The 14,582-nt window shown below is 39.3% G+C and overlaps 1 pseudogene across 2 annotated transcripts in view; it reads left to right on the plus strand.

Moving 5' to 3' along the window:
• Positions 1–4,600: 4,600 nt before the first annotated feature.
• Positions 4,601–14,582, plus strand: part of GBA3 (glucosylceramidase beta 3 (gene/pseudogene)) — a 126,633-nt pseudogene continuing 116,651 nt past the window's right edge. For both annotated transcript variants that reach the window (NR_102355.2, NR_102356.2), the window contains exon 1: positions 4,601–4,737. The product of NR_102355.2 is annotated as a glucosylceramidase beta 3 (gene/pseudogene), transcript variant 1, non-coding (transcript). The remainder of the gene's footprint in view (positions 4,738–14,582) is intronic.

A 14,582-nucleotide genomic window follows, 5' to 3' on the forward strand; every position in this document is an offset into this window, starting at 1 on the left:
AGCCTGTATATCCAGCCAGTGGATGAAAGAAGAATGATGATACATGGCTGAAACATGAATGATTATGCAGGCAGATTGTAGTGTCCCAGCCTGGCAGTGGTACACATTACTTCTGCCTACATTCCACTGGCCAGGACACATAGTAATGTGGTCACAACCATTTGCAAAGTTGCTGAAAAATGTAGTCAAAAAGTGTGGCAAGATGGAAGGGGAAACAAGGGCGGCTAGAACACACAGGCATCTTTGCTACAGATAGACTAACGTTCATTTAGAATCTTTTTCTCCTACACAGGTATGCAGGAGCATTTTGAATGCCAGAGTTTTTGAATCTCAGCAATTCAAGTTGGGAGGGTCAAGATCATGACTAATAGGGCTGAATTCTTACTAAAGAACAGCTTGTTTTACAGTTAACAAATAAAGTTTTGTGCAAGATTTTTTTTTTCCTTTTTACCTAGAGGTCCCTGAATTTACAGTTTCTTCATGATATGGTTTGGCTCTGTGTTCCTACCCAAATCTCATGTTGAATTATGATCTTCAGTGTTGGAGGAGGGGCCTGGTGGAAGTTGATTAAATCATGGGGGTGGATTTCTGCCTTGCTGTTCTCATGATAGTGAGTGAGTTCTCATGAGATCTGGTTGTTTAAAAGTGTGTAGTCTCACGCCTGTAATCCCAGCATTTTGAGAGGCTGAGGCGGGCGGATCATGAGTTCAAGAGTTCCAGACCAGCCCGACCAACATGGTGAAACCCCGTCTCTACTAAAAATACAAAAATTAGTTGGGTGTGGTGATGCATGCCTGTAATCCCAGCTACTCAGACGGTTGAGGCAGGAGAATCACTTGAACCTGGGAGGCGGAGGTTGCAGTGAGCCGGCATTGCGCCACTGCACTCCAGCCTGGGTGACAGAGCGAGACTCCGTCTCAAGGAAAAAAAAAAGTGTGTAGTCCCCCTTCACTTGCACTCTCCTCCTGTCACATGAAGACATGCTTACTTCCCCTTCATCCTTCTGCCATGACTGAGGCCTCCCAGCCCTGCTTCCTGTATAGCCTGTGGAACTGTGAGTCAATCTAACGCCTTTCCTTCATAAATTACCTAGTCTCAGGTAGTTCTTTACAGCAGTGTGAGGACTGATTAATATACTTAGCAGTCCCAGGACTTCTAGAAAGAGCACACCTGTAGACAAAACTATAATGCAAGTAACTTATGTTTGCTTGGGGAGTAGACAGAGGTTGGTGACACTCGTGAATAAAAAGGTTTGTTGTGCTGTTCTGAGGCAGTACCTTCAGAAGGTGGCAGGACGTCAGAGGAACTACTGTGGCTGTGATGAGCGGCAGTTGAACATAGAACCTCAGAGCTTCACCCCTGGAGAAGGCTTGAGTCCCTAGAATCAGTGGACTTGAAGAGACCATAGTAGACCTGGAGAGTGGGCATCTTGGCATTAACTGGTACAGACCAACACTGGGAGGTAGGGGAATAGAAACACAGGTATTACAAAGAATTTTGGTTTTCATAAGACCCAAATTTTCTTGTATGGCCCTAAAATGAAGCAGAGGGGGCCCAAATACAGTAATGACAAATTAAATTACCAGCCAATCTTCCTGGATGGGACCATGAAGTCAGACTACTTTTTGTATACAGAAAAATCTAAAATACAATAATTCTTTCTTACCTGAGATGATGGCTGCAAATTCATGCCTTAGAGCCATTTGGGCCCTAGTGCAGGGCAGATGAGTGAAATGAGTTCTCAGAAACGTGAGAAAGATACAGAGGGGTGCTGGGTTGCAATGGAAGGTCTTAGGGGAGGGGTGGAAAGTGAGTTCAAGGAGGGCTACAGTTACGAAAATGTGTTCTGTGGACTCCTAGAGGTCCTCAAGACCCACTTGGGTGTACACCAGGTCAAAACTTTTTATAATGATGCTACGATATGATTTGCCTTTTCCACTCTTGTCTGTATTCTTCTGTGAGTGTACAGTGGAGTTTTCTAGAGACAACAAATTGAATAAGACGCAGATAGGAACATTAGCTGTCTTCTATTAAACCAGGCATGCAAAGAGATTTGTAAAAATCTTAAACAGTGACACTCTTCTCACTAAATATTTTTGTTTGTTTGTTTGGGGTTATATGGTTATTTTTCATAAAATAAGTAACTTCTGTTAACATGCTCTTCATTGCTGTTTGAAGTCAACGATAAATGTTTTTTTAAAATCTCAGTTTTAATTTCTAATACAGCAAATATATTTAATATAAAATATAACCCACATGAAAGAAAAAAAGTTCTTTAGGAACCACAATTATTTTTAAGAGTGTAAAGAGATCCTGACACCAAAAAGCTTGAGAATGTTGGATTAGAACAACAACCCAATCAATGTTGAGAGAAATTAATTCTGCCACTTGTGGACTAATAACTTCAGAGTATGTGAAGCACTGAGAAGATAGATTGTTTCTTCTGGAGAAGTATCTTTAGAAGAGCAGTAGTAATTAGCCAGGGGCGACTGGTGTAGACAGCCATTAGTGAAATAACTGAATTTTAATACCACTTTATACTGCAACTTGCAAACCTAAAAAAATTGCAATACTGCCATCTAGCGTTCTATCGTGAAAACATTTCGATATTTATTTTTTCTCTCAATTTACAATTGCTTCAGAACTGAATGACAACATAAGCCAAATTTAATAGTTTGCCATGCATTTGTTAGGTTATTTCACCAAACATGTACCTTTAAATATCTTCAGTGTCTTTTCCAATTTCTTTCTGTATATAATCTCTTCTTAGAGTTAGGATAACTGGAGAAGGTAGGATTTCAACCTACTTATACCTTGTTTCAAACTTTATGTTCCTGTCATTACACAATGTAGAATGATTTAATGGCAATGTAGAGAAACCGAGTAAGTAACTTTCCTCACTTCGGTTATACATACCTCCTCTCTTTCCATAGTCTTTTTTTTTTTTTTTTTTTTTTTTTGAGATGGAGTCTCATTCTGTTGCCCAGGGTGGAATGCAATGGTGCAATCTCAGCTCACTGAAACCTCTGCCTCCTGGGTTCAAGCGATTCTCCTGCCTCAGCCTCCCGAGTAGCTGGGATTACAGGCGCCTGCCACCATGCCCGGCTAATTTTTGTATTTTTAGTAGATACAGGGTTTCACCACATTGGCCAGGCTGGTCTCGAACGCCTGGCCTCAAGTGATCCGCCCGCCTTGGCCTCCCAATCCATAGTCATTTTTTTTTAAATAAACTTTTTATTTTGGATCAATTTTAGATTTACACAGAAGCTTCAAAGATAGTACAGGGAGTTCCCATGGCCCCTCATCCAGTTTCCCCTACTGTTAACATGTACATTTCTGTGGAAACCCATACCCACTGGGTTCCTGGCACAATGGACAGAAGTTCCACACCAATGAACATGACTGAAATTTCAGAAACAGAAACTTGGGGGTCAGAGAGGGTGGGCTGGGGAAATAAAAAAGTTTACATATAAAAGAACAGGACTTGTATTCTCATCAAACTTGTCAGTAGCCACACCAGAAGCTAGAAAATCAGGAACCAATGCCTTCAAAATTCTGAGTGAAAATTATTTTCATCATAAAATCCTGTACAAAACTGCATATTAAGAGCAATGTTAGACTAAAGACAATTCCAGAGCAACTACAGAGTTTTGAAATATTTATGTCCCATGCCCCCTTTATCAGACAGTTATTTGAGGATGTGCTTCTCTAAAGCGGGAAAAGAAACAGAAAGACCAGGGGAGAGGTGAAGGAGCCTCTCTGAATGATGTGAAGGAGATCGTGGGTCAAAGCTCTGTGGTGTCCTAAAAAATAAACAGTGCAGAATGGAGCAGGAAGACAGAGTTGTTTGAACAACTCAGAGATGTATTCTTCTGTCAGAGTGTTTGGGGATGAATTAGTAATAGGTGTAAAGAAGATGAAATAAACATAAAGATCAGGCAGTGGATTAACCCTAGAGAAAATTAAAAGTTGCATGGAAGCATGGTATGTATACTATATGGCTCAGCTTTGAGCCATACAGACTCATAGAAATATAAATATTGAATTCATTTAAATGAAAAGGTAATTTTATCATGTTGGCCAGATGGGAGAAGGTGGAAGAGAAGGAGGGAGGAGGAACAGAGAGAGAGAGTGCTAGATCCTCTGCCCTATACCCAGAAGTCAATAATTATCTAAAATTGAAAAAAATAAGCAGCAACACCCTATTATTTACACAATATGGGATTAAATATCAGAAGAAATGGTTAAAAGTGGTTACCTCTACAGAGTACGGATCAGGAATTGGGATGAATGAACTAAGGGAAAATTCTAGTAGGATGATAATGACTTTTTAAAACAATGTTCATGTTACTTTAAAAGGCAAAACATCAGGTAAATGGGTGCCCTGCCAAATCAGGGACTTAGCACCCAGGGTTATCAACTCTGTTAAGAATCAGGGAGTGCTGGGGGAAGAAAGTATAAATGATGGCCTTGTACAAAGTATCTTGGATTCTTATCAAGGCTGTGGCAGTCAAGTGTCCTTTGCCCCTGCTTCCTTGTTGTTTGCATAAATATTTGTATTCTGAGGCTTCATTCTAGGGTGAGAGCTCATTTTCTGTTTGCACAATTGCCTGGCTCCTCTGGCCAAAGGGTGCTCTGCTTCTGGCAGCTGAAGATCCCAGTAGACAGCTTCTTAAACCATGGCTTTCCCTGCAGGATTTGGATGGGCGGCAGCCACTGCAGCTTATCAAGTAGAAGGTAGGGGACACTCTCTCCCCTTCACTGGGGTGGGAGTGCTTTATTTCTGGTGTGTCCTGTGTACCTGAGGAAGATGGTGGGGTAAGGAGGCAAAAAGAAAAGCAAAGAATTGAACAGACCACAATGTTATCAATGAATTTGTTTCCCTTTTCAAACATGTCAGGGGTGGGGGCTCACATTCTCTTGTCTCTTTAGGCACAAGGAAGGGTGGAGGGATGAAGAGGTGAAAACCAAGCTGTGGCTGGATTTTCAGTCAGTCCAAACTCAGCTGAGACATCAGTTTACATTGGACCAGCTGCTTTTATAATTGATTTTTAGAATCCATTTGCCCCAACTCCTCTACAAAGGAGAATCATTTTTTTCTATTGGCTGGAAGAATATTGGGTCGATTTTTTCAAAGAGCCCTTCATTAATTGGGAAAAGTTCCCTGTTCTATTCTTAGTGAGCGCCAAGCCAAGCCTAATCTTGTATGCCACCATATTTCCTGGGGCAGCTGAGAAGTAAATAGAAGCAAATGGTAAAGAGCACCCAGAGTGCCTGTGGAGCCCAAGTTCTGATCCTCATCCTACCACACACAAGTGTGTGAATTCTTTGTCCTCCTTGAGTCTCAGTTTCTTCATCTGTGAAATAGGAAGATGAGCTTTACTTTTCTAAAACACGTATGTCCCCCCTTCCCCTCCACAAAGGGAGTTAGAGATTGTTAATAGCTACCATGGAGAAAATATTTATTTGGTCAAATAAGTATATGAAACCCTGGATTAAACAAAGCAAAGTGAGTTATTGTGGTAGCTTCCTAGGATTGCCATAATAAAATATCATAAACTGTGGGGCTTAAACAACATAAATTTATCCTCTTACGGTTCTAGAAGCCAGAATTGGCCACTGGAGGATGTAATTAGCCAAGTTAAGATGAGATCATACTGGAGTAGGGCAGATATGCAATCCAATATGACCGGTGTCCTAAAAAGAAGGAAATTTGGACACTGAGAAATTTGGAAATTTGAAAGAAGAAAAATTGGACAAAGAGACAAGGAGAACACCGTGTGTGAGAGAGAGATTGGAATGTTACAGTAAGCTAAGGAGCAATAGTCGCCACTAAAAATTAGAAAGAGGCAAGAGGGATTTTACCTAGAGACTTGGGGGTCCATGAGCCTGCTGACACCTTGATTTTGGAACTCCAGCCTCTAGAACTGTGAGAGAATACATTTCTGTTGTTCAAGGCTTTCATTTTGTGGCACTTTGTTACAGCACCCCTAGAAAACTTATACACCGAGAAAAACAAGTCAATCAATCAATGAAATAATGACTGCTATGGTAAGTGCTATGGTGATAATAGGATGTTGTGGGAAAGGGTCACGTGAAAACCAGTTCTTCAGGATGGGTCATCAAGGAGGATCTTTGTGAACTAGCATCATTCCGTCTAAACTTAAGGTATGAGGAGGAGACTGCCATTTGAATATGGGGAGATCTTTCTAGACAAAGAAACAGGACAAGTTGATCCTGGTACAACCCATGCTGCCTGTGATTCCTAGCTTCAATTGCTATTTCCCCATCCTCTAGAATGGGAAGGAGGAATCTTTACTACACAGTTGTGATAACTGCCATGTAGAAGACATCTCCCACTGGGGGATTATGTATATTATTGCACATATATGATCTGTGATACAAGGCTCTTTTAAAGGAACGTCTGACAGTGTCCTGGTTGGCTGAGATTCCATGCCACCTTTTTCGCTACATGGGATCTTCTTTCATCTTCTTCCAGATAATTTCCACTTTGTTGTAGAGGGTGACTGAATAGGCTGACCCTCTGGGAATAAAAACAAAAGCAATGATCTTTGTTAGTTTCCGTCTCAAAAGAGAGGTCGGAAAAATCCGAGAAAGCATGGTAGAGCACCAGAATGGTGTAAATAGAATCAGATTCTAGAAGCAACATAGCATTGGTGATTATTAAGATGAGCTTTGGGGGAAGACTCTTTAGACTTGGATTCCATCTCTCCTTTTACTAGATTTGTGACTTTGTCCAAATGACTCATCTTCTCTGTGCCTCCTCACCTGTAAGATGGAGATTATTATGGTGTCTCCTGTGTAGCACAGCTATGAGGTTTAAATAAGATAATGTGTGTTAAGTACTTGGCATTTAGTGAGTGCTCGATGCATCATATTCATATCTGGGAGGATCACAAAAGGATTACAAAGAATGATTCACTATGGAACTCTACAGTTAACTTGGCATAAATATGCAGTTATACAAGACAATAGAGTGGGTTTCAACTACTAACTTTGAGTTCCTGCCCACTTAGGACCTGGAGGTAACATTAACTGGCCCATTCTGAGCTCCTCTCTTCACATGATCTCAATACTGTTGCATCTCTTCTGTCTGCTTGGAGCCAGTTTGTCCTATGCTCTTCGGACTTAGGCTTGCTTCTGCCATATTTTGAGGTCTTTATTTGTGGCCTCTAACCTGCTGTTAACTATCTATAGTTTACTAGGTAGGGTACTTGATCCATCATGCTCTGCCAAGAGCCATCAGCCTGCTATCTTTGTCAACTCACAGCATAACTTTTGCATGCTTGCTTGCTTTCCACCCTAGGAGCTCTTCCTGATCCTTTTGTGCTGTGTGTGAATTTTAGCTCAAGCACTTACTAGCAGAGTGACTTTGGGCAAATAATATATTTAAGCCTCAGTTTTCTTATTTGTGAAATTTGAAACATAGTCATACTCTCTCTGTAGATTGGTTCTAGGGACTGAAGAGGTAAGCATATGTAACTGTGGTATAAGAGTGCCCCCATGTAGTGCTCACCAAATACTAATATTAATGCCAATACTATTATTATTTTTCTTTCTCCTGGCTGTATTCTCTTGCACTCTGAGAGAAGGAGAGTTACACTGTCTACTCCATTTAGTGGGAATGGTCATTTCTTGTTTGGACTGCTAGTTAGAATCTATTCCCTCCTTGCTCATGCTTGACTACTTCACCAGCAGTTGCCAGGAGAGTTACTGTTTAACCATTTCTCCCACCATCGACTGGATTACAGTGCAGGAAGTTCACTCGTGGCTTTATCAAATCAGCATGGCTTGGATTTAAAGCCGAGAACAGCCTGTCTCTTTTTGATTTTGATAATCTTTGCAGTTTTGTGCTGCCCTGGCCTTGGAAGGTCTGTAGATGCATTGGAAGTCAGGAGACACTCAGCAGAGCTGAGGACTGAGCCTGAATTGTATTTGTAAAAAAATCTAACACTTTTAAAGATTTGTTATAAAACATTACCACGTATCTCTTTCTACTGTCTCTCTTTCCACTGTATTTCAAAATACAGTTGTCTGTATTGGTATATTTGTTTTCAGATACTCTCTTGAAATCCCTGAAGAATAACTAGCATACTCTCCCTCACCCTCACTGCGAAAATGGAGATATTTTGTCTCCATATAGAAAATACTGTCAGGGTCTTTGCAGGTGGGCCCCACTGAGAGGGGCAGGGACTGGGCCTTATCACCAGGTCTCCTAACACATTGACTACTTGGTTGCGTATTTTGCCGGAATCACGGCCTTTCCTTTGTCCTGTCCTTGTTCAGATCCTTTCTTCCTCTCCTCTGGCTATTTCACTGTTTATGGTCTTATAGAAGAGTTTAATGTTATTACATAAGAGTTGACTGCATGGTGCCTTGAGCCTTTTGGAAGAAAGCACAATACGAATCTAATAAATAAATAATAAATAAATGGTATAAGCAGGAGGAAAATTATGTGTTTTAGGTGAGTTGTAAAGAACCATGTAAAACCTAAAAAATGTATTTGTTAGACTAAGAGGCAGGGAAGAAAGTGCAAAAAATCATCGTACATACAGAAGTGAGTCTCCCGCAATGTTTTTAAGTAGAGAAAAATTCCCATGATTTTTAACCCCTTGTGAAGCTGACTCTGTCCTCTGTGTTTGGCTGGAGGGAACGTGAGGTGCAAAAACATCAGGTAGCTCCGTGGCATTTTGTTTACTTTGATGGTAGGCCACGGAAGAGATATGAAAATGACATTGAGGACCCAATTCTACAGTTCTTATGAGCTTCTAACTCCCGGTGATTTCAGGGAAGGCTCTTAAGGAGCGAACATGCTTTGCAAAATCCCACAAATCCTAAGCAAAGTCTAAACTACTCTGTTAATGCTTCCTAGTGGGATCTGAGTTTGTGGTTTTTAAGGAGCCAAAGTTCTCAGTTTTAGGAATGCCATTGTGAATCCTTGATATTACTCTAATATAACAGTTGATTTTAAGTTTGACTTTGGTTTTATGTCGGCAGAAATTGGGGATTGCCTCAGACTTTGGCCATCTCTATTTGCCATACGTTAAAGGTGGATTCTTGTAGTTAAGACATTTGTGTGTGTGTGTGTGTGTGTGCATGTGTGTGTTCCCTTAAAAAATTGGAAAAAGAACATGGCAGCTGTATTTTTTGGTTATAAGTTGAGTTTATGGTGTTTCTATATAGGCTGTTTTTTCTTTGGTCCTTTTTTTAAAAAAACTCAACTGATTCACACAAACCTAAGCTGGAGACACACTTCATCTACTCGTTGTAAATGTCAGCACAAGCCCCATATTTCTCTAAGACCACTTCCTGATTGCTTTCTTCACTCAACGGATTTTAACTGTGTGTCTTGGTCTCTATTTTCTGCCAAATCCCATGGATTAAACATCGCAGTCTGAGACTTGATCTCTTGGCTGCTCTTGGTACTCTTCAAGAAGAGGAATATCCAGACAGATATGCTCCTTGTCTGGACCACCTAAGAAAGACGGAAGGGAAGCAGACTTAAAGCATGGTCATTTATTTCTTGGTATGTAAGGAAACAGGGAGCAGAGAAGTGGGCATTTACCCATGAAATTTATCATAGCTTAAAAGTTGACATGACAGAAACCATTCTTATTTCTTTCCCCCAGTTTCAAATTTGAAATTCACAAAAATATCAAATATTGCCCTCCTTTTTCATTGTACCATGAAATTAATGATGTAGGCATCATTGGAAGAGTACAGGCTTAGAGAGGGATGATATTCAAATATTAATCAACAAATATACTCGCCATGCTCACCAATCAGATGCCAACTATAAATAGTAGGCATAGACTAGACTGACATTTGGATTGACCGGTCAGAGTGGACGTCAGCCATACACAACTACCAAGGCCACATTTAGATGTATTGATTGAATTTCAACCTTGGGCTTAGGAGGGGGACACATCTAAAATATATTGGACTCTGTTTATAGACTACTAGACAGTTTAATTATTTAACTTCTCTAAGTCTCCAATTTCTCACTTGCAAATTCCTAATGCTGATCTCTCTCTCTTTTTAAAAAATTTCATTGGATGAATGTTGGAGACCTTTTTCTTACATTTTGTGCTTCTTTGGATCTTGATTAATTTCTTCAACTTTTTATTCCAAATGACGATACTTTAACTGTGTTTGGACTTTAGCTGAATTCATTCTATTTTTCAACTCCTCTATTGAATATTTATTTTTGGCACTCATATTTCTAATTTTTAGGAATGAATTATTTAATTGCTTCTGTTTCAGGAGACATATTTTATTTTCTGGATGTTGTCACCTCTCAAATCTCTTTAATAATGCTAATTAAAAAAATTAAGTTCCTGATCCAGCAATCTCACATCTGGGTATTTACCCCAAAGATTTGAAATCAGTTTGTAAAAGAGATGTCTGTATTTCCATATTCATTTCAGCACTATTCACAATATCTATATTGGAATCAATTTTAAGTGTCCATAAACAAATGAATGGATAAAGAGTATGTGGAATATATACACAATGGAAAACTATTCAGCCTTAAAAAAAAGGAAATTCTGTCCTTTGAGACAATGTGGATGAGCCTGGAGGACATTATGCTAAGTGAAATAAGACAGGCACAGAAAGAAAATACTGCATGTTCTCACTTACATGTAGAATCTAAAACAATCAAACTCATAGAAGCAGAGAAGAGAATAGTGGTTACATAGCTAGCGGGTGGGGGAATCTTGGGAGATAATGATCAGAGGGTAAAAAACCTCAGTCAGATAGGAGAAAAAAAATTTTTTTTGAGATCTATTGCATCTCAAAAAATTATTAACTATGTAGTTAATAATATAGTATGTTTCAAATTTGTTAAGAAAATAAATTTCAAATGATCCCACCATAAAAATGTTAAGTATTTGAGGTGATGAATATGTTAGCCAGCTTGATTTAATTTTTAAAATTCGTATTCATCAATAATAACATCACTTCATACTGTGTTAATATACATAATTATAAATGACCAATTTACAATGAAAACTTTTAAAATTAATTTCTCTTTTTTGTGTGTATCAAAGAATTTTGGTCCTTATGTTTCGGGTTACTTGTTTTTTGTCAAATGCCATATGATGTTTATGAATGAATGGTTATCTTGATTAATACCAGTAACTGATATAGGCTTCCTTTGAAGTTAGATAGTTCTATGAACTGAGTCAGGGTTGGCTCTATAAGAAAACAGAGTTCTATATAAGTTGGTGGGATCTATTGACAGTCAGTTGTCTCACAAAAGATTATGCGTGTGAGTGGAAACAGCCAAAATTTAGACCTTGATAACTGCCATATAGCAAGGACTTTAAGGAGGAGTGTGCTTGATTTTAACTTTTGTGTTTCCTTTCTGCACGTCCTTTCAAGTTCATGTTTTTAGCTCTAGAGTTTGTTCTGCTTTTTTTCTATGGCCTCAGTACCCATGATAGGAGTCCTCCCCAGTCACACGTCTCACTTTTATGAAGCATTTCTTAGGACTTCAACATGGGGTAAAGGCAGAACCAATGACCCTGTTTATGGAGAAGAAAAACCCATCAAACAAGCTATAAGATAATCCTTTAATTACCATAATGATTGCTCTGAGGCCTGGACTTCTGTCTGAATTGGTTGGCCCAGAAAAGTACTTTAGTAAATGTTTTGTTCTATTGGGACCTTTTTTGTTTGTTTGTTTTCAGCTCAGTTGTGGATTCCTTCTCTTATTTACTGTTATTTCAATGGGGTTGTGAGAAGAAAAGGAATTAAATATGTTCACTGTATTCCCCACCTTGAATTGGAAATATTTAAAGACTTTAATATAATATTAACTTATGTAGAAGTCTTTATTAACATGCATTAATATTTGAAAGTGCCTCATAAATCATGAGGTTCTATGCAAAGTTAATGAATGAATTGCCCCCTTTTACCATTATCATCCTCCTTGTCATCACTAATATATCCAACTTCTAGAAGTTTTCTAGTCCTGTGCTTTTTAATGAAGAAGATGAGTGCTATAGACTAAATGTGTGTGTTCCCCTCAAATTCATAGGTTGAAACACTAATCCCCATATGTGATGGTATTTGGAGGTGGGGGCTTTGGGAGGTGATTAATCAGTGATATGGTTTGGTTGTGTCCCCACCCAAATCTTACCTTGAATTGGAGATCCCATAATTCCCACATGTTGTGTGAGGGACCTGATAGGAGATAATTGAATCATGGGGGCAGTTTCCCCCATACTGTTCTCGTGGTAATGAGTAAGTCTCACAAGGTCTGGTGGTTTGATAAGGGGTTTCCCTTTTCACTTGGTTCTCATTCTCTCTTGCCTGCCACCATGTAAGATGTGCCTTTCACCTTTTGCCATGATTGTGAGGCTTCTGCAGCCATATAAAACTGAGTCCATTAAACTTCCTTTTCTTTATAAATTACCGAGTCTTGGGTATGTCTTTATCAGCAGCATGAAAGCAGACTAATACAGTCAGGAAGGCAGAGCCCTCACGAATGGGAATTCTGCCTCATATTAAATAAAAGAGATCCCAGCCATGTGGGAATGCAGAAAGAAGTCAGCCATCTATCAACCAGGAAGGCATCTTCACCAGAACTTGACTGTAGTGGCACCTTGATCTTAGACTTCCAGCCTCTAGAACTGTGAGGAATAAATTTCTTTCCTTTTTTTCGTTTTTTTAAATTTTACTTTAACTTCTGGGATACATGTGATTAACGTGCAGGTTACATGTGCCAGGTATACATGTGCCATGGTGGTTTGCTGCACCTATCAACTTGTCATCTAGGTTTTAAGCCCGCATGCATTAGGTATTTGTCCTAATGCTCTCCTTCCCCTTCCCCCACACCTTGTGACAGGCCCCAGTGTGTGATATTCCCCTCTCTGAAGACAGCATGGTGATTCCTCAAGGATCTAGAACCAGAAATACCATTTAACCCAGCAATCTCATTATTGGGTATATACTCAAAGGATTATAAATCATTCTACTGTAAAGACACATGCACATGTATGTTTATTGCAGCACTATTTACAAAAGCAAAGACTTGGAACCAATCCAAATGCCCATGAATGATAGACTGGATAAAGAAAATGTGGCACATACACACCATGGAATACTATGCAGCCATAAAAAAGGATGAGTTCATGTCCTTTTCAGGGACATGGATGAAGCTGGAAACCATCATCTTCAGCAAACTAACAGAGGAACAGAAAACCAAACACCACATGTTCTCACTCATAAGTTCGAGTTGAACCATTTCTGTTCTTTATAAGCCAGTCAGCCTATGGCATTCTGTTATACCAGCCAGAATGGACTAAGAAAATGAGCTAATGTGGAATTAATGGAATTTCAGACAGTATAACAAGAGAAAGCAAAATATTCAGATACTGTGAGAAAAGTCATAGTAGGGGGAGGTGACTATGACTGAGAAAGAAAACATGTCTCATCATCTGCTTTTGAGGTCAGCTGATCCAATCCATTTGCATTTTTCATAATTTATTACCTCCCTCAATTCCTGAACACAGATTCTGCATCTACTAAGTTTTCCTGTACCTCAGCTGGCTTCATGGGCAGTGCTGAAAGGTATCTGCTGCCCTCCCTATGTGTATATGTAAGTTATTTATTGATAAGTGTCGGTCTGCCTGTTTGTATATTCTTTTTTTTTTGGAAAGGTTTATTTATTTATTTATTTTGAGATGGAGTCTTACTCTGTCGCCCAGGCTGGAGTGAAGTGGCACGATCTAGGCTCACCACAACCTCTGCCTCCCAGGTTCAAGCAATTCTCCTGCCTCAGTCTCCTGAGTAGCTGGGATTAAGGCACTTGCCACCAGGTCTGGCTAATCTTTGTATTTTTAGTAGAGACGGGGTTTCACCATGTTGGCCAGGCTGGTCTTGAACTCCTGACCTCAAATGATCTGCCTGCCTTGGCCTCCTAAAGTGCTGGGATTACAGGCGTGAGCCACCGCGTCTGGCTGTATATTCTTTTGTATCAGCAAGATTCTGAGTAGAGTGGGTGCTAGTCACATAAGTTTAGAAATATTTTTTGTATTATGAAAGGAATACAAGATAATTTTAGAACATTTAAAAGATACAAATAAGCCAAAAATAAAATAATTAGCCAGTAGATATTTAAAATTTTAGAATATGTATATTTTCAGTATTTTTCTATGTATCTGTAGACATACATGTACCTATACACTTATTTCTCTGATAAGAGCATTCTGTAAATGGTTGTGGTTTTCTTAACACACTTAGAAATATCTTGATAAGCTATAACACTTCTCTGCATCCTTTCTCCTCTTCCTGTTCCCTCTCTCCCTTATCTGTGTTTCTACAGTGCACAAGGATGTTACACAGAAAGCTAAATGTGAGCCAATATATTTAACTTTGAGAAACCAGATAAAAATAACTGTATCTTAATTATTTGTTTGGTGTAGGGGTTCTATCTGTTGGACCACACAGTCATACATGAATTTTTTTGTCATTACTAAATTAGTCAGTTAAGAGAGGACATTTGTTTACTTGAATAAATATGTGCCAGCCTTGTACTGGAGGAAAAAAAGGTG

The sequence above is a fragment of the Homo sapiens genome, chromosome 4 (genome assembly GCF_000001405.40).
Source record: "Homo sapiens chromosome 4, GRCh38.p14 Primary Assembly".
NCBI lineage: Eukaryota > Metazoa > Chordata > Mammalia > Primates > Hominidae > Homo > Homo sapiens.